The sequence below is a fragment of the Homo sapiens genome, chromosome 1 (genome assembly GCF_000001405.40).
Source record: "Homo sapiens chromosome 1, GRCh38.p14 Primary Assembly".
Taxonomy (NCBI): Eukaryota; Metazoa; Chordata; class Mammalia; order Primates; family Hominidae; genus Homo; species Homo sapiens.
Window position 1 is genome coordinate 120343987 of NC_000001.11, and position 17962 is coordinate 120361948.

The window sequence follows — 17962 nt, forward strand, 5'->3', positions numbered from 1 at the left end:
AGTGGGTGCAGCGCACCAGCATGGCACATGTATGCATATGTAACTAACCTGCACAATGTGCACATGTACCCTAAAACTTAAAGTATAATAATAATAAATTTAAAAAAAAGAACAAAACATCACATTGTACCACATAAAAAAAAAAAAGTTGGATTTTGCAAGGAAGATAGACATCTGACTAAAGTTTGGCCAAGCAAGGAATCTTTGTTAGTACTACTTCTTGTTTAAGGAAAGAAGAGACATTCATCTTTCCTTCAAACAATATAAGTCTCTTTTCTTGTTTGATCACCTTTTATTCATTAAGGACCAGTTGAATCATCTGTTGGGACTTGGTAGCAGAGGATATTTCCTGGATAGTGTGAGCTATCAGGCCTTTAATGTGGGAAGTTTAGTTTCTATAAAAATAAAATTAAAAAAGATTAATAGTTGGAACGAACTATAAAGACAGTTTCTGAGCCCAGAGGGCAGCTGATCAATAAGATTTCTAGATGCTGGGCTTGTAGTATCTTCAGCTGGTGTGAGAAGAGGCATTGGATTAGTTTGCAGTTTGAATGCCATAAAGATGGGCCACACACAAGCTGTTGTGGTAATTTTTCTGAAGCTTATGTCAAGTCATCCAGTTTCAGTTTGAAGGACTTCAAGAAATGAAAAGTTTATAATTTTAGTGATTCCAAGCCAGAATAGCAGGAAAAAAATGAAATATTAATTTGGAGTGTTGTAGCTAAATATTGTAGTAAACTAGAAAAATTGAGGATCTATTGCAGATTGCAGGCAGATAATAAAACCTCAGAAAAAAAAAAAAAAAACAGCTAGAATCTAATATTGGGTGCACTGCAGTTTTCTCCCGAAACATAACTTTTCTCTCTATATTCACTCTCATTTCTGTCAAAGATAATCAATGTCAGATTGATTTGTTTGCTAAATAAGTTTAATCTCATTAAACTTGTACTGGTTATGTACACAAGTGCAGTTAAGAGTAGTGATTGACCATTTAGGCTCTTTTAAAAGTTGCGTTTGTCAGATAAGAAATCTCAGATTAAACTTTTTGTTTTTGTTTTTTTAGACAGAGTCTCCCTCTGTCTCTCAGGCTGGAGTGCAGTGGTGCGATCTTGGCTCACTGCAACCTCCGCCTCCTGGTTTCAAGCGATTCTTCTGCTCAGCCTCCCTAGTAGCTGGGATTATAGGTGCGTGCCACTATGCCTGGCTCATTTTTTGTATTTTTAGTAGAGACAGGGCTTTCACCATATTGGTCAGGCTGGTCTTGAACTCCTGACCTCGTCATCCACCTGACTTGGCCTCCCAAAGTGCTGGGATTACAGGGGTGAGCCACTGTCTCCAGTCAGATTAAACTTTTAAAAGCCACTTGAGGCTGGGATACAAGCCCAAAACTTGTCATTAGTCTGCACCTGTTACATTTATAGATTTAGATAAATTTCTCTCTTCTTGAGGTCCCTAAAATATCCCAAGGTTTCCAGACCCACCAAGCAGTGACATTCTTTACTTACCTGTAAGTCTGGGAACCCTAGAGCCAGTTTTTCCAAGATGGTACTTTATTGGTTCCATAAAGCCAACCTTAGTCCCCCAAAGCCTTCTGGTCATATCTGAAAACATGATGTTTCAGTCAAAGCCTTGGTGATATAACCTGTGTTTCCAGTTTGTCCTGTTACAAAGACAACAGATTCTTATTAAACTTATGCAAATAAATACATTGCCATAAAAATAAGAATATGCACAAATAGTTTCCAAATTCTGGAGGGATAAGTTAGGGTGAAAAAGTAAATATTTCCATTTTGCACAAAAGTATTCTTTACTGAATTGGTGTAAGCTAGAGATAGCTTAAAAGAAAGTTCTCTGAAATCTGGAAAACAAAACATTTAAAGAACTAGCAATGTTTCCAACAAAAAGTCATTTTAAAAATTATTCTCATCAGTTCATTCTTGTTTTGCTTGATCTTGGGTTAGTAGTTACATGAACCCATCAGTTTTATTAGAGTTCTGGAAATTCTTACCAGTCCAATTGTATGACATTAAAGTTGTTCAGAAACCTGTATTCCAGAATACTCATAAGAGTATTTTCCATAAATCTCCTTGAAGAAGAAGCCATTTTGGACTGTAGCTAATTTCAAATGCTTTTAGAGAACAATTAAATTAAAACAATGACTGTCTACAGATGACAAGGACTTAAAATGTCCATGGTTAGAAAATCTAATGAGAGTTCATTGCAATGATACAATTTATAAGAAAATTTGGTTAGCATGGCATACAGCATTTTAACATAATAACCAAAATTATGACTGATAACATACTAGATTTCTAGGAATCTCATACAACTTTTGTACACTTATCCCAATAATATATCCATAAATATAACTTAAAGATGGCTTAGCATCACTTTTTATTTGAATGCTACACATATAATTTAGCATATTAAATGAATCTAATTGGTTTAATCTCTCTTTCATACAAAAAAAAATATTCTTTGTGGCTTTCTGAGGGTCCAATATGGATAATCCTAAGTTAATTTGAGGTCAAAAAGACTTAACTTAGAATGTGATTTTGGGAAGATTGTCAAAAATGTCAAAAAGTTTAAAACATTTAAAACAAATATGACCATAGTTATCTATTTAATAAAAGCTCCATTAAAAGATTTTAAAGGCAAATTCAGATTACATAGTTGTGAACAAGAACTTAGCTCCTTTAATATTGAGAAGACTCACTTTTCTTAAGTAACCAAAAACCTAATAAAACAATATGAAACTCAAGAAATTATCTTGATGAAACAGTCTCTGTTTCTGAGGCCAATTACTTAAAAGGAAAAAAATACCCTTTACATTCTCAGACCAACATTCCAAGAAAACTTTACCATTTTAACGGAGAAGATCAAATTCTACTTTTGAATCAATGTATTACTAAAACTAAGTTTTAATAAAACCTTATAAATAAATCTATCCAATCTCAGTCAGCTTAGACCATACAAGATAAGATTTTCACAATCCTTCTAGACATCTTTTCTTATTTACTTTTGCAACAGACATACACCAGACAATTAAGCAATTTACTTTTACTACATATTCTACTCTTAGGTTGAATTTATGGTTTTATGGCCTTAAACATCTAACAGTAACAACACAAACTTGTCTAATCAGCAAAGCCAGGTAAAACAAGTGTATGCTGACAATTCTGAAAATGTTTCTATTTTTATTTTACCAATATTTTTTAAACTAGTTTTTATTTACTAAAGAATATCCCAGATTATGTGAACTTAAAAAAAATTGGGTCAGTTTCTACTTTTCTGAAAATTTTATACATTCTTATTTGTTTGAGTGCTCATTTATCCCTAGCCAATTTGGGTATTTTAGTTTGGTAATAACGTTGGAGGTAGAAAAATATCACATATACATAACATAATAACATAGATACACACATGTACACATACACAAACATATAGACTGATGTAACCAGATCTTATGACTTCTCATTTAAAAAATTTTAACCAGGCCAGGTGCAGTGGCTCATGCCTGTAATCCCAGCACTTTGGGAGGCTGAGGTGGGTGGATCACCCGAGGTCAGGAGTTCGAGACCAGCCTGGCCAACATGGCATAACCCCGTCTCTACTAAAAATACAAAAATTAGCCGGTCATGGTGGTACATGACTGCAATCCCAGCAACTCGGGAGGCTGATGCAGGAGAATCGCTTTAACTCGGGAAGTGGAGGTTGCAGTGAGCCAAGATTGCACCATTGCACTCCAGCCTGGGTGACAGAGCAAGACTTTGTATCAAAATACATAAATAAATAAATAAAAAATAAAAAAGACTTCCCTGATCGAAATTTAAATCAATTTCCCCTTCTAATTCTAAAGCAGCCTCCAAGATCCTATAGGGTTTGGGAGAAAATTTGACTTAATTGTCCAAACTTTTAGCCCGAATATTATGATTTTTATCAATTAATTCACATGTGGTGTAAGAAGGCAGGGCCACTAAATGGTTGAAAAGGGCGAATTGGAATAATTCTTTAGAGGATTTTTAAAAACAGAGTAAAGCAGACAATGAAAGGGTCTGCATTTTGGCCAAATACCTCCATGTTGCCATTCCCCAGGTTGTTCCCAAAAATGTAGATTGGAGAATTCAGCAATGCACTTAAAAGGCCAAGCAAATCTGTCTTTGGTATTTTAAGTGGTTAAGATTTATTGATTGATTGATTGAGACAGGGCCTCACTCTGTCACCCAGGCTGGAGTGCAGTGGCTCCATCATGGCCCACCACATCCTCAACCTCTCAGCTCTAGCAATCCTCCCACCTCAGCCTCCCGAGTAGCTGGGACCACAGGTGCATGCCACAATGCCCAGCTAATTCTTGTTTTTTTTTTTTTTGTAGAGAGGACATCTTGCTGTGTTTTCCAGGCTGGACCTGAATGAACTTCTGGGCTCAATCAATCCTTCCACCTCAGCCTAACATTTACACTGGGAGCAGAGATGCATTTGGAGTAGGTGATGATTTTGGAATGCTTTAGAAGCAACATAGGTATCTGATTTCATCAGGTCAAGCCATCAAAAATGACCAATAAATCTCTGACCTCTTAGAAGCAATTTGAAGACCCAAATTTTGGCCATCATCAAAATTCGTGTTCATTCAAAATTAGACATTCTGGAGAGCAAGGACAATCATTTTGCTGATGCTGCAGCTAAGAATGCAGCTCTGAAGTTGACATCAGACACAGAACTCCTCGAAATGACCTTGCTGACTTATGACCCATTGAAGACTTCATTAGAAGTACAAGTGGGCTGGGCATGGTGGCTCATGCCTGTAATCCCAGCACTTTGGGAGGCCAAGGCTGGCGGATCACCTGAGGTCAGGAGTTTGAGACCAGCCTGGCCAACATGGTGAAATCCTGTCTCTACTAAAAATACAAAAATTAGCTGGTGTGGTGACACATGTCTATAATCCCTGCTACTTGGGAGGCAGAGGCATGAGAATTGCTTGAACCTGGGAGGCGGAGGTTGCAGTGAGGTGAGATTGCACCACTGCACTCCAGCCTGGGTGACAGAGCAAGACTCTGGCAAAAAAAAAAAAAAAAGAAGCATAAGTGGGAGCTCCCAAGCAGGAGAGGGATCTCTGGAAGGATAAAGGGAACAAATTTCTTCCAGAAACAGTCATATGGTATGGGCCCAATGATACACTGATCTATCCCTTAGGCTTCAATTACCCTTTTACAGTACTTCATAAGCTGACTCATTGGAATTCAGACAAAATGTTGGCATGGGGAAAGCAATGGTATTGAAAATCATTGCCTATGATTGCAGAAAATGTTTAGTCTTGCCATACTGTCTGTCCCAAACATAATCCTGGAAAACCCCTTCATGGGTCACAGGGACATTTTGCCTTTGGGACCCTTCGAGACATGGCAGTTAGACTTTATCCAGCTGTCTCCATCTCAGGGTCACAGATACTTTCTGGTGCTAATTTGTATATGCTCACTGGGGTGAGCATTTCCATGCTGATGAGCCACAGCCCAAGTAGTAGGTAGATTGTGATTAGAAAAGGTAATTCCTCATGGGGGGTGCCATCTGAACTCCATAGAAACCGAGGAACACACTTCGTTGGTCAGGTAATTTGATCCATTTGTAACATTTTTGCCTAAGTCCCAACATTTCCATTGTGCCTGTCACCCCTAATCCTCTGGGCCGATGGAATGCACTAATGATACAATAAAAACTCAATTGGCAAAGCTAACAGAAGTTTTTAACCTTTCTTGGACAAGGATCTCCCACTGGTTGTGGAAAATGTCCACACTCTCCCTCTTTGAAATAATAACAGGAAGACCCTTGCAGTGGTTAGATGAAGGCGCTTATGAATCTGCACTTCTTAAAGGTGACATTCTCCATTACTGCTAAGATCTCACAGAACTTACTAAGAACTCAACGTTAACAAAGAATTCCATTCATAATGAACTCCTGGGAGATGAAAATATCAAAAATCTTGGCCTATAACCTGGAGATGTTGTTGTTTACTGGAAACAACATCAAATAAAATATTCTCCCCAAGACTGTTGGAAGGGACCACATCAGCTATTATTATTACTTTATATATTTTTTTGAGATGGGATCTCATTCTATTCCCCAAGCCAGAATGCAGTGGCACAATCATGACTCACTGTAGCCTTGAACTCCTGGGCTCAAGCCACCCTTCTGCCTCAACCTTCCAAATATTTGGGACCACAGGCATAGGCCACTGCACCTAACTGACGACAGGTATTACTGACCAATCTGTGCCAGTAAACTTAAGGGCGTTGACACATGGATTCATGTTTCTCTTGTAAAAGGCAACCCTACCAGAGTGGACATCTGTCAGTGGAGATTTTCACTTAAAGGTAACTCACAATCTTCCTGACAGAGATGGCAAGTAGCTGACATCTGGTGTAGTCCACTTTCACCCAAGATACTGGCCTGTATAATCAGTTACAATTCCAGTGCTGACCGTGCCTGAGAGAGTTAGTCTCTTTTTTGCTGACTGGAATACATACACCATTAGGGCTCCTTTAAGTTGTAGGGGTTGTCTCTTGGTGGTTTTGGCAAAATCACCCTATATGCATATTCTCTTAAGATATGACACACTACTCCTGTTGCGTGTATGTGTATATACATATACATACATACATACATAGCAGAATACCTGTGATCAGATTTCTGTTTTACTGTCCCTAATTAATTTGATTACAGCAGGGAGGGATAATTCTCTGATTAGAATCTCACAAACCATTACCTCTGTGGGAAATTTGACAAGGTTCCAGGTTTGCCACTCAAAACCACAAACCACTTTTGACCATAATGACCCATTGGTACATCCTGTGCTAAATTTCACCTGTATTCCTCCTGATTGCACTCACGATGCAACTCAGGGTCATATCAAGCAAAACCTGTTTATCTAATCTGTCTGACTCACCCTAACCTTCCTGCCGCACGTCTCAGTTTAACCCATCGTAATCGTATTGTCAAAATAACTGCCTGTAATCCCAGCACTTTGGGAGGCCAAGGCAGAAGGATCACTTGAGCACAGGGGTTTGAGACTAGCCTGGGCAAAATGGTGAAACACTGACTCTATAAAATATATACAAATTAGCTGGGTGTGGTGGTGCCCACCTGTAGTCCCAGCTACTCAGGAGCATGAGGTGAGAGGATGACTTGAGCTAAGGAGTTCAAGCCTGCAGCGAACCCTGATGACGCCACTGCACTCCAGCCTGGGCAACAGAGTGAGACCCTGTCTCAAAAAATAAATAAATAAGCTGCGTGTGGTGGTGTGTGCCTGTAGTCCCAGCTGCTTGGGAGGATGAGCCATTGAGCCTTGGAGGTCAAGAGGTCAAGGCTGTACTGAGCTGTGATCTTGTCACTGAATTCCAGCCTGGGAGACAGAGTCCTTGTCTTAAAAAGTAATTATAATAAAAATAAAAAGTACAAAACCAACCAAACAAAAAATTGTTTCTTCACTCTGAAATAACAGTGGTTAACACCATGATGCCACTGGAAAGTTAAAAGAAAAACACTCCCTCCTGCTATCAGGATCCAACCTGCCCTCTTGCTCTAAATTTCTGACCCATGGTTTAAATGCCCAAAAGCTGATGTACTCAAATTATAGCGCACTTACTTGTTCGGCGTTTATTTTTGTCTCTTGAAAAGATCACCATCCATGGCCCTATAAATGTCGAAGGGCATGGAATGATGAAGTGCAATGTCATTATTGTTATGTATCTCTCATCGTTTTACTTCTGGGAAAACTAATTTCATGGTATTCTGAAGAGTAGAGATGATTCAATAAGTGACAGCAGCTGTAGACTTAACTGAGGCCCCTCTCTCTCTCTCTCTCTTTTTTTTTTTTTGCCACTCTATGATGCCCTTTTTTTTTTTAAGACCGAGTCTCACTCTGTCACCCAGGCTGGAGTGCAGTGGTGTGATATTAGCTCAGTGCAGCCTCAAACTCCCAGGCTCAAGCCGTCCTCCTACCTCAGCCTCCTGAATAGCTGGGACTAAGGTGTGTGCCACTACACCTGGCTAACTTTGTATTTTTTGTAGAGATGGGGTTTCACCATGTTGCCCAGGCTGGTTTTGAACTCCTGGACTCAGGCAATCCACGTATCTTGGCCTCCTGAAGTGCTGGGACTACAGGTGTGAGCCACCATGCCTGGCTGTAATGCCCTTTCAATTGGACTTTTGGGCATTCTTAAAAATTCCTCAGTGAGGTGGCTTCTTTCCTCCCCTGTCCCCTGCTTGGGACAGGACTATCCGGGAATGAGCCTTTCTGGCAAAGAGGGACACCCTTGACTTAGCTTTTGATCATCGATGCTTTCAAGAAGAAAGATTAAAAAAACTTTTTATCTGAGGAATGTGAGCCCTTTCAAATGATCAGGCCCAGAGAGACGTTAAATCGAGACAGCAACCACTTTCCGCTCCTTCCTTTTGAGCTGCGCTGAGCTATGTATTCATCCGTTGAAACTGCTTGCTATTGCCTCAAGTAGCTGTAAATTAACCTAATAATGCCACACCAATCCCTATACCCCCATACCCTATAACTTAACAACATATAGCCAATCACCAAGCAATGTTATTTCTGTAAACCAATGAGAATTCCTGATAGGCACCTATCAGCCCACTGTCTGTCCCTGCTTTTGAACTTTAAAAACCTGCTTGTGGGCAGGGTGCGGTGGCTCACGCCTGTAATCCCAGCACTTTGGGAGGCCGAGGCAGGCGGATCATGAGGTCAGGAGATCGAGACCATCCTGGCTAACACGGTGAAACCCCGTCTCTATTAAAAAAATACAAAAAAAATTAGCTGGGCGTGGTGGCGGGTGCCTGTAATCCCAGCTACTAGGGAGGCTGAGGCAGGAGAATGGCGAGAACCCGGGAGGCGGAGCAGAGTTCGCGCCACTGCACTCCAGCCTGGGCGACAGAGTGAGACTCCGTCTCAAAATAAATAAATAAATAAAAAATAAAAAATAAAAACCTGCTTGTGACAAAGGCCAAAGGGAGCTCAGATCCAAGCTTCCTTGGTGTGAGTCTTCCAGGCAGTTGTCTTCATGTTGACTCAAGTAAACTCTAAATTATATTTTGTGCTTCAGCCTCCTTCTTTTAGGTCAACATGTTCAACAACAGTAGAATAAATACATAAGTTAATGTATATTCCTACAAAGGAATACACGTAGAACCAAATAACCATATGAATAACATGAAAAATTCATAGACATAGGACTGAGTGAAAGAAGTCAGACCTATGCCTCTGCTTCTGCAACCGCCTTTGCAAAAATTACAACTGGGACAATTACCACAGTGAAAGAGATCTGATCTAACTGATTCCATCTTGCTTCTAACGTACAAGCTGTCCTTGTTGATTGCTGGGCACAGGCCGAAATAACTTTGGGAGGAAATTAGTTTATGGTTTAGCTGTGAAACAAAGATGATAATATCTCTGTCCCGAAGCAAACCCCCTTCCTGCCTGGGGACTAGACTGCCTTTGCCGGACTAACAAATTAGCCACGAGATTAGAAATTATGGTTTAGGAGTCATGTAGCCTCTGGCTGCAAGATTCTAAACCTCCCCAAATTGTTCCTGGAGATCACATCGTTATTGGAAAACCTAAGATCAGTGCTTGAGATATTTTGCCGACCCTGCACTCAGTGGATCAGCTGGCACCAGCTAGACTGATAACCTGGCTCAGCTGGTCTTGTGGCCCCCAAGCAGGAACTGACCCAGCAACAAGACCACAGCTTCAGCTCCCTGTGATTTCATCTCCGACCTGGCCAAGCAGAACTCTCAATTCACCGGCCCCCAATCACCAAATAAAGAGTGCAGCTCTTTATTGCAATTCCCCTGTGTCGAAAAATTGGCTCTGTCTAGGCAGCAGGCAGGGTGTACCTGTTGGGCAGTAACACTCCCCCCAAAACCCACTACAGACTGTGACTCAGCTTATATGAAAGTAAAGGGCAGGAAAAACTTGCCTGGTAGATTTGCAGAGACGGGGGTGGAAACCATTAATAAGTCTGTGGAGTATTCTCAGAGTTTGGTGTTGTAGTCTACATATTAAAAGTAATCAGTTAAACACCTGAAATAAAACTTCTCCCAAATATTTTTGCCAAATTTGGATGACTGTGTTTCTGTCTTCGCAGCATATAAAGTGTTAACATGAGGTAAGCGCTAAGGTCTAGAGAAGGCAGTGAAGAGATGACAAACTCCAGCACCATGCCTGAATGTCCAGTGTGCTCTGCTGGGGCAGCACATTTTTGTACATTGCTGTATCTGAAAAAAACCCTACAAGATTCATGAAACTGGACGACCGTCTTTATAATACTCCTAGTGATAAAACAAGTAAGGATGGCTGGTTTGCAGTCATCTGAGCAGCCTCTCTAGTTTCATAGATACGGTTTCTCTCTGATATTGAACGACTTCCAAATGTCAAGCGAAATGCTACATCACAAGGATAACCGTATGTGAAAAGAACCGTTTTTCTTTGTAATCCTAAACTTTCTAGTCTGAGCTTTAAAAGCCATTATTTGAAGAAAAGCGCACAGGCTCCAGCTGGCCGCCAAAGGGGTCCTTTGCATCACAGGCTAAGAACCTACTTCTTTGGGAGAGACCAGGGACGGGGATGGGAGGGAAAGGAGGTAGAGTCAGGTGTCACTTCCTCCGCCCGCTCCCGCAGCTGGTTGGTCGGCCGAGTGGCAGAGGGTGGGGCGGAAGAGCAGACGGGGACGGGAAAGGCGCTGTCGGTGACATCACAGATAGGGCGATTCCTATGCAGAGGAGGCAGCTCAGGGGCTGCTGCTTCGCCAGGAAAGATTTCTCGTGCTGTGGGAGCTAGTCCAGGACTTCCGGTTGGACGTGATAGTCCCAGCTGTGTGTCAGGGCTAGGAGGACTTGAGGCGGCATGGGGGCGGGGTGGGGGAATGCGCGGGGCAAGTGACCGTACGTGTAAGGGGTGAGGCGTATGGAGCTGTGGCAGGGCGGAGGTGCGTTCATTCATACTTATGTAACAGGAGAAAATACGGCCATGAAGTTGGTGTTTTTCGGGGGCGGTTTTTCCATTGTACTCAGTATGTGCTGACTGACTCCTGTTACTTCCACATGTGGGGAAACTGGACTGTAATTTGTGGTGGTGGGGAATTGCGTTCGCGCTTTCTTCTGGAGGTTGTAGTGCAAAAAGCAGTTTGTCTACCAAGTGATACTTTCAGCTTTTACAAATGCTGAACAATATCCGTGGTGTGTTTTCATGTCACCTCCTCTCCCTTCTTTGTTAGAAAAAAATGGAAGAGCACGTGGATGTTTTGAGATGAGAAGAGGTGCGTTCACCACCTTCACCTCCGTGTAGGCTTGTTATTAAGGGAAAGGGAACAAAGGAGTCTCACTTATGTAAGATGACCTTACATGAGAAGAAGAAATTCGAGTTGGTGAAAAGAAAGAAATTCAATTTCAGCCGGGCGCGGTGGTTGACACCTGTAATTCCAGCACTTTGGGAGGCCGAGGCAGGCGGATCACGAGGTCAGGAGATCAAGACCATCGTGGCTAACACGGTGAAACCCCGTCTCTACTAAAAAATACAAAAAAATTAGTTAGGTGTCGTGGCGGGTGCCTGTAGTCCCAGTTACTCGGGAAGCTGAGGCAGGAGAATGGCGTGAACCTTGGAGGCGGAGGTTGCAGTGAGCCGAGATCGCACCACTGCACTCTAGCCTGGGGGACAGAGCGAGACTCCGTCTCAAAAAAAAAAAAAAAAAAAAAAAAAAAAGAATTCAATTTCAACAGTCTAATATCCTGGCATGCAAGAGAGAAATTCTAAGACTGTCTCAACTGTAGAAATGTTCAGGGGGAAAAAAAAATAGATGATTATTTATTCTGTTTCATTCATTGTCTCGTTGAGTTTGTCACATGCCAGGTGAGGTGCCTTACCTGTGTTCATAACCTCAAGACATAAAAGGGAAGGAATTTTAGAATGATTCAATGATATCACTGTTTTGCCTAATAAGCAAATAATTCAGTAAGAGACACTTATTAACAAATCTAAGAATAAAGCTTCCTTTTTAATCACAAAATTGCCTTTCTTCACATTATCTTTCTTTACATTCTTTGACAAAGTACCCCAACCCATCAATATTGTCTGTCTTATCCAAACTGAAGGATGATAATCCAGATTTAAGAAAATATCTATCAAAATAATGACAACATTGAGCATGTACTCAGTATCTGCTGGGTATAGGGCACAACAAATATCTCTCGAGTTAGTACCAGGCCCTGTGCTGAGGCCTCCACTCCTCTCTAGCTCATGTGCACTGAGCAGCGAGTGCCACTGGCTCCTTGAAAGCTGCTTAGGCACCACCGTTTTTAATTCCCATGAGAGGTGCTGTGTGCACCCCAGTGGACAGATGAGGGAATGGAGAGCAGGTGGATACCCTTGGGTAGAGAGCCACACATGGTTGGATCCAGCTCTGGAAGGACTGACCCCTTCTCTACCCGACTCGAGAAAGCCCACTGTCAATGATCTCGACCTCTACTTTATGTCTCCTATTTCTGGAACGGAAATGACCTCGTGCATATTTCAAATTCTCCAGCTTTTCCTTGCCTTTCCTCCATCTTGTCAGTACTCAAATAGGAAAATGATATATACATATATGTTGATCATGTACACTTAATTTCCTAGATGTAATTAAGTATAAATTTCAGGCAAAATGCTAACTTGAATATATTTTTATGTTAAAACTTTTCCATATTTCATTCACTTATCATTAAGAAAGCAAAACCTTTGCACAAAATATTGTGCTAGCCTTTGCCAGGAGACAGAAATGAGGAGTCATGGGCTGTGTTCTTCAGGAGTGTTGAGTTCTCCCGAGAGTGTGAGAATACACAGGTAAGCCCAATAGAAAGCAAAAGTCAGGGCCGGGCATGGTGGCTTATGCCTGTATTCCCAACACTTTAGGAGGCCGAGGTGGGCAGATAACTTGAGGTCAGGAGTTCGAGACCAGCATGGCCAACATGGTGAAACCCCATCTCTACTAAACACACACACACACACACACACACACACACACACACACACACACACATTAGCTGGGTGTGGTGGGATATACCTATAATCCCAGCTACTTGGGAGGCTGAGGGAGGAGAATCACTTGAACCAAGGAGGCAAGGGTTGCAGGAGGCAGTGATTGTGCCACTGCACTCCAGCCTGGGTGACAGAGCAAGACTCTTGTCTCAAACAAGCACACAAACCAAAAACAAAAGTCAGATGACTAAGGCAGTGATGATTGCCACATCCTGTGCGGGGCAGCCTCTGGGATTTGTCTCAAAACACACTCGATCTAGTTCTTGACGCCCATTGAGATGGATGCTAGGTTATAGGCAGTTACATAAGATCTTCGAGCCTCAGTTTCCTTATCTCTGAAGTGAGAAAAGTAATATTGATATTGTTAAAAAGGCATGAGATTTAGATATAAGTAAAATACTTGTATTTTACTTAGTACCTACTTAATCTTCATGAGTGAGTCAAAGAAAGCAAGTAGAATTAGGCAGGGTTGTGGGGATGGGGAGAGGCAAGCTGTGCTAAAGACAGGGGAAATGGGCAGATAGAATGCAGGGCTAAACACAGATACCTACAACCTGCAGCAGAGGCAACTTACTGAGCTTAACATAGAGAATACAAGTCACTTTAAAATGTACAGTTCTATGTTACTTTTCACCCCACAATAAAATCGGTCCTTACCTAGAAAAAAGTAAAGATAAAAATGAAAGAAAAGAGGAGTGGGGGAAGTAACACACATGTGTACACATTCAGACCTTTGGCATGCTTACATCAGAGAAAGAACACTTTTGCAAGTTTTCTTGGCACAACGAATGGTAATAATTTTTAAGTCTATTGTGTCTGTCATCTATTCATATATTCTGAAACTGCTGACCTCTCATTGACAACAGTATGCCTCTTTTTCTAAGATTAGAAATTTTAAAATGTAATTGCTGATAATAAACAATGGACATTATGCTAAGCGAAGTGAGCCAGTCAAAAAAATAAACAAACAAACAAACAAATAAATACTACATGATTCAACTCATTTTAGGTTGGTGCGAAGTTATTGTGGTTTTTGCCATTAAAAGTAATATAAAGTACCTGGAATAGTCAAATGTATAGCAAGAGAAAATAGAATGGTGCTTGCCAGGGGCTGGAGGGAAGGAGAAATGGGGTTGTTGTTCAGTGGGTGCAGGGTTTGAATTTTGCAAGATGAAAGGGTTCTGTGGCTGGATGGTGGTCATGGCTTCACAGCACTGTCAACGTGCATGATGCCACTGACCTGCGCACATCTTAAGTGGTTAATGATCAATTTTATGTCATATGTATTTTTTCACATTTGAAAACACTTTTAAAAACCATTCTTGTTAGTATTTAAAGAACTGCAAGATAAAAAAGAGACATTTTTAGAGTGTGAAGTCGTGTGCACAGGTTCATCGTCTAGGTGTGTACTCATGAAAACAAATCTCTTGTGTTGCAGATAGCGCTCGTTAAGGTTGATTTCTGCATATCAGTGAGAGTTCAGTGATCTTACATTCAACATAAATATGACAACTTTACAAACATCCCCCCTTTCATCCACTGAGTGAGTTTATCAGGAAAACCCAACAAAATCCTTCCAGGCCTCCCTGGGGGAAGGTACACAGTCCCCTGCTCTGGAGGAGGACATGGAGGCTCACGCTGGTTAAGGGAGTTTTCCAAAGTCACCAGCAGCAAGGAACCTTCTGAAACTCTGACAAGTCCGTGCTTTTCCCACGTCCACTTACATTATTTAGGCAAGACCCACTTGGGAATCTATTTTTTCAAGGCATGATCGGGACTAGGTTCAGGATGGTAGAGCAGGGCTGTTTTTGAAAGGCGGTCTCTTTCTCTTTGCACCAAGCTTTCCGTAAGTGTGTGGGTGACCCTCCCAACTTCCTCCTCTCTCCCACAACCACCGCCCTCGCTGCTTCTCTCAGCTTCTCTCCCTGACACCTGGATGACTCCTCTTGGCTACCTGGGGGCTGGCATTGTGGGAGGCAGCCGACGCCAGTGGGTGCTGCTGGGATCCCTGCCCACACCCAGCAGTTGCCTGGAGATGGAGGTATGCCAGGTATGTGGGCCAACAGCTGCAGAGTTGCCACTGACAGGCCGGAGGAGGATTCTTTGTCAGTGACCGCACCAGCCCGAGCCCCTGCCAGCTGTCCCACTCAGTATGCCCTGGCTTCCAGGGCCCCAGCCAAGGAAGGGTGTGGACATGTGATACAGTGGTGGCCACAAGGCAGGGGTCAAGGGGAAGGCAGGCCGATACTAGCAACAGAGGAAATGACACTTCAGAAGCGTCCTCTCTTACAAACAAGAGCAACTGTGTGTGTCCCAGTGAGTATGGGAAGCTCAGTCTCCTAACATCATTCAAGGGTCTCCAAGTGACTGTGCATACAGTTTTAAAAATATCACCGAACTTGTTTTTCTTACCCCAGCCATTTTTTATAACTATATCTAGGGAATGGGTTGGTTGACTCTAAAGAGCAAGGAACTAAAGAAAAGATAAACATGGAAACTTCAGGTTTTCCAGAATCTTGCATATTTCCCTCCTGTTTCCCTATTATAATTTACATTTAAAATGGAGAGATATGCAGTTTAAGCCAAATGTTTTGAGTCATGAAAACAAGTGAAACTCTTTTGCCTGTTCATGATAAACCTTCAGATTTGGTGACTTCTTTCCACCAAGGCAAGATAGGTTTCACTGGGGGGAACTGAACTGGTGTGGTGTTTTCTGCCTTCAGCCATCTGTGTGTACACTGTGACAATATGGTTCTGTGCTGGATGAGACGCCTACTATTTTTTCATCTCACTAAAGAGCCTCAAGTTTCTCAGCTACAACCTGGAGGAAGTGTCTGAAAGCTGATTTTCTGATGCCCAGCCCCAGGCCTCCTTTTCCACCGCACAAGATCAGACCTGCTTTTCTCTAAATCAGAATTAGGCACGCCACTCCAGATGAAAGAGCCCTGTCGTTGAAATGCCTTTCTTTGGCCCACACTAAGTATAATTTCTGCTCCCGTTTGAACTCAAATATCACATGTATATTTTAACAGCTGCTGCTCTCTAAGCAAACTGATTCACATAGAAAATCCAGGATTGTGACTACTTATTTTTTCCTCTCTACACATGAAACAGATTCCCTGGAAACACAGTTATCTTAAGTAGCTGGAATTGTCTAACTTCGGTTACTTTATTATTTACAAATCAGCCAGGTGAGAACAAGAAAGTGAAAAGCAGGAAACAAGATAGGCAGAGAAACAAAGGGCTCGATCGCAAGAGCAGCAAGATGCCTGAGCAGACCCACAGGGTTCTCAGGGCTGCAGCAAAAATCAAAGAACAGTCGTGGTCTCAGGACTCGCCATAGATCAGACCACAGCTTCCAACCATGCCACAGGCTGTCTGTGTGTTCCCTGCACACCATTCATTTTTGTCCTTCTATTTTAATGATCTGAAACCAAGTTTGGGCCATGTGTAGACAGGCCATTCGGAGGAGGCTTCGGGAAGGAGGGTGCATCTGAGACTAGTTGTAAAAGATGAGGAGGATTTCCACAATCGCTCGAAGGAAAGGGGCATTTCAGAAAGAGAGAAGAGCACGTTCACGTGAGCCCAGATAGGAGCACGGGGCACACGCAGGAAACTTCCTGATGCTGGAGTTCATGCGCACGGTGGACGCAGGCTTGGCAGCCCGCAAGGCAGAAGGGGAGGTGGTGCGGGAACCGTGGCTGCTCTAGCAAACTTGAGCTCCATTCTGCAGGCTCAAGGAGACATGGAGTAAGAGGAAGGACTCCTTGGGTGCATTGTTCATGGGAGGACAAATTAGAAAGGGGATTATCTCATGGCAGGCAGCCACTTCCAAGTAGGGAAGTTGGAGAACTTGTTGTCAGGTGGAAGAAAAGAGAAGACCCTTGAAAAGTCATCCAGGAATGGGTGTGCACAAACATGGAGTGTGTTCCTCATGCCGTAATTCTGATCCAGGTCCTTGACTTAACTGCATTGCCATTAAGCTTGTGAAAGGAGGGGAAAGCCGGTACCAGACATTGGTTATATGTCCAATATCTGTTTGACTCTTTGTTAGAGGTATTACCTAAGTTATCTTACAATACTCTAAAAGCAATTCTACAAAGCCCATTGCTATTTTACAGAAATGAAATCTGAAAATGAAGAGGGTCAAGTAAACTAAGAAGTCTACGCATAACTAAGAAGTGGGGCTGCCTGACCCCAATCCTGCACTCTTGGCTCTTTATGACTTCACTTGTGAGCATACTGAACTCAAAGTGTTCTGGACGTCTCCAGGTAGAGGGCTCTAGGAGGCAGCTGAGTACGTGAGTCTGGAACTTAGGAGAGTTCCAAGCAGGGCTGTGGGTGTGGGATGGGGTGCATGGGAAGGAGGTTGTCAAAGCAAAGCAATGCGCAGCTGCTTAGGGAGGGGGCACAGGAGAGTGGCCTGGCCCTTCTTAGATCATTGTCAACTCAACTTGTCTAAATGGCTTTTAAGACCTCAGTTATCACCTGTATTAATTCTGGCCTATGGTATTTTGCAGCTCTTCGGGAAATAGTGATCCTTTGTTTCTGACAAAGTTCTTCTTAAAGGGTTTATTGTCTTATTTACTAGGAATCATGGGGAATAGAGTGTTACACAATGTAATTTTTTCCCTAACAAATGAAGCTTATTTTTATAAATTCCAGGGCTTTTAATTTGAATCATGCTTAACTATTTTTCTATATTTTATTACATTGTTTGCTTCCTCCCTAAAGACAGTATATTTTAGTATTTTCACAGAAAAATGAGAAGCCCTCATTATGAACATACCTGATTAAATTGAGCATTTCCAAGTGATGTCCACATCATTGCTCAAGTGTTATGAGGCCACAGGATGAACTACTGCCCCCCGAATGATGCTAGAATGCTGT

The 17962-nt window shown here is 42.2% G+C and overlaps 1 non-coding gene across 1 annotated transcript, besides 4 other annotated features; it reads left to right on the plus strand.

The window, feature by feature from the left end:
* Positions 10550-10880: a silencer, noted in NCBI's record as "fragment chr1:144533587-144533917 (GRCh37/hg19 assembly coordinates)". NCBI's record gives its function as "represses an EF-1alpha promoter that drives an FKBP-Casp9 reporter gene in an ReSE screen in HepG2 liver carcinoma cells {active_cell/tissue: HepG2}" and the evidence as "EXISTENCE:reporter gene assay evidence [ECO:0000049][PMID:32094911]".
* Positions 10874-11878: an enhancer, noted in NCBI's record as "NANOG-H3K27ac hESC enhancer chr1:144533911-144534909 (GRCh37/hg19 assembly coordinates)". NCBI's record gives its function as "activates a minimal SCP1, AML or CMV promoter by ChIP-STARR-seq in naive H9 embryonic stem cells {active_cell/tissue: H9 hESC(naive)}" and the evidence as "EXISTENCE:reporter gene assay evidence [ECO:0000049][PMID:30033119]".
* Positions 11001-11162, plus strand: LOC124904631 (U1 spliceosomal RNA). The gene has a single exon (XR_007067132.1). It is a non-coding gene; the product is annotated as a U1 spliceosomal RNA (small nuclear RNA).
* Positions 15055-15626: an enhancer, noted in NCBI's record as "H3K4me1 hESC enhancer chr1:144538085-144538656 (GRCh37/hg19 assembly coordinates)". NCBI's record gives its function as "activates a minimal SCP1, AML or CMV promoter by ChIP-STARR-seq in primed H9 embryonic stem cells {active_cell/tissue: H9 hESC(primed)}" and the evidence as "EXISTENCE:reporter gene assay evidence [ECO:0000049][PMID:30033119]".
* Positions 16219-16780: an enhancer, noted in NCBI's record as "H3K4me1 hESC enhancer chr1:144539249-144539810 (GRCh37/hg19 assembly coordinates)". NCBI's record gives its function as "activates a minimal SCP1, AML or CMV promoter by ChIP-STARR-seq in naive H9 embryonic stem cells {active_cell/tissue: H9 hESC(naive)}" and the evidence as "EXISTENCE:reporter gene assay evidence [ECO:0000049][PMID:30033119]".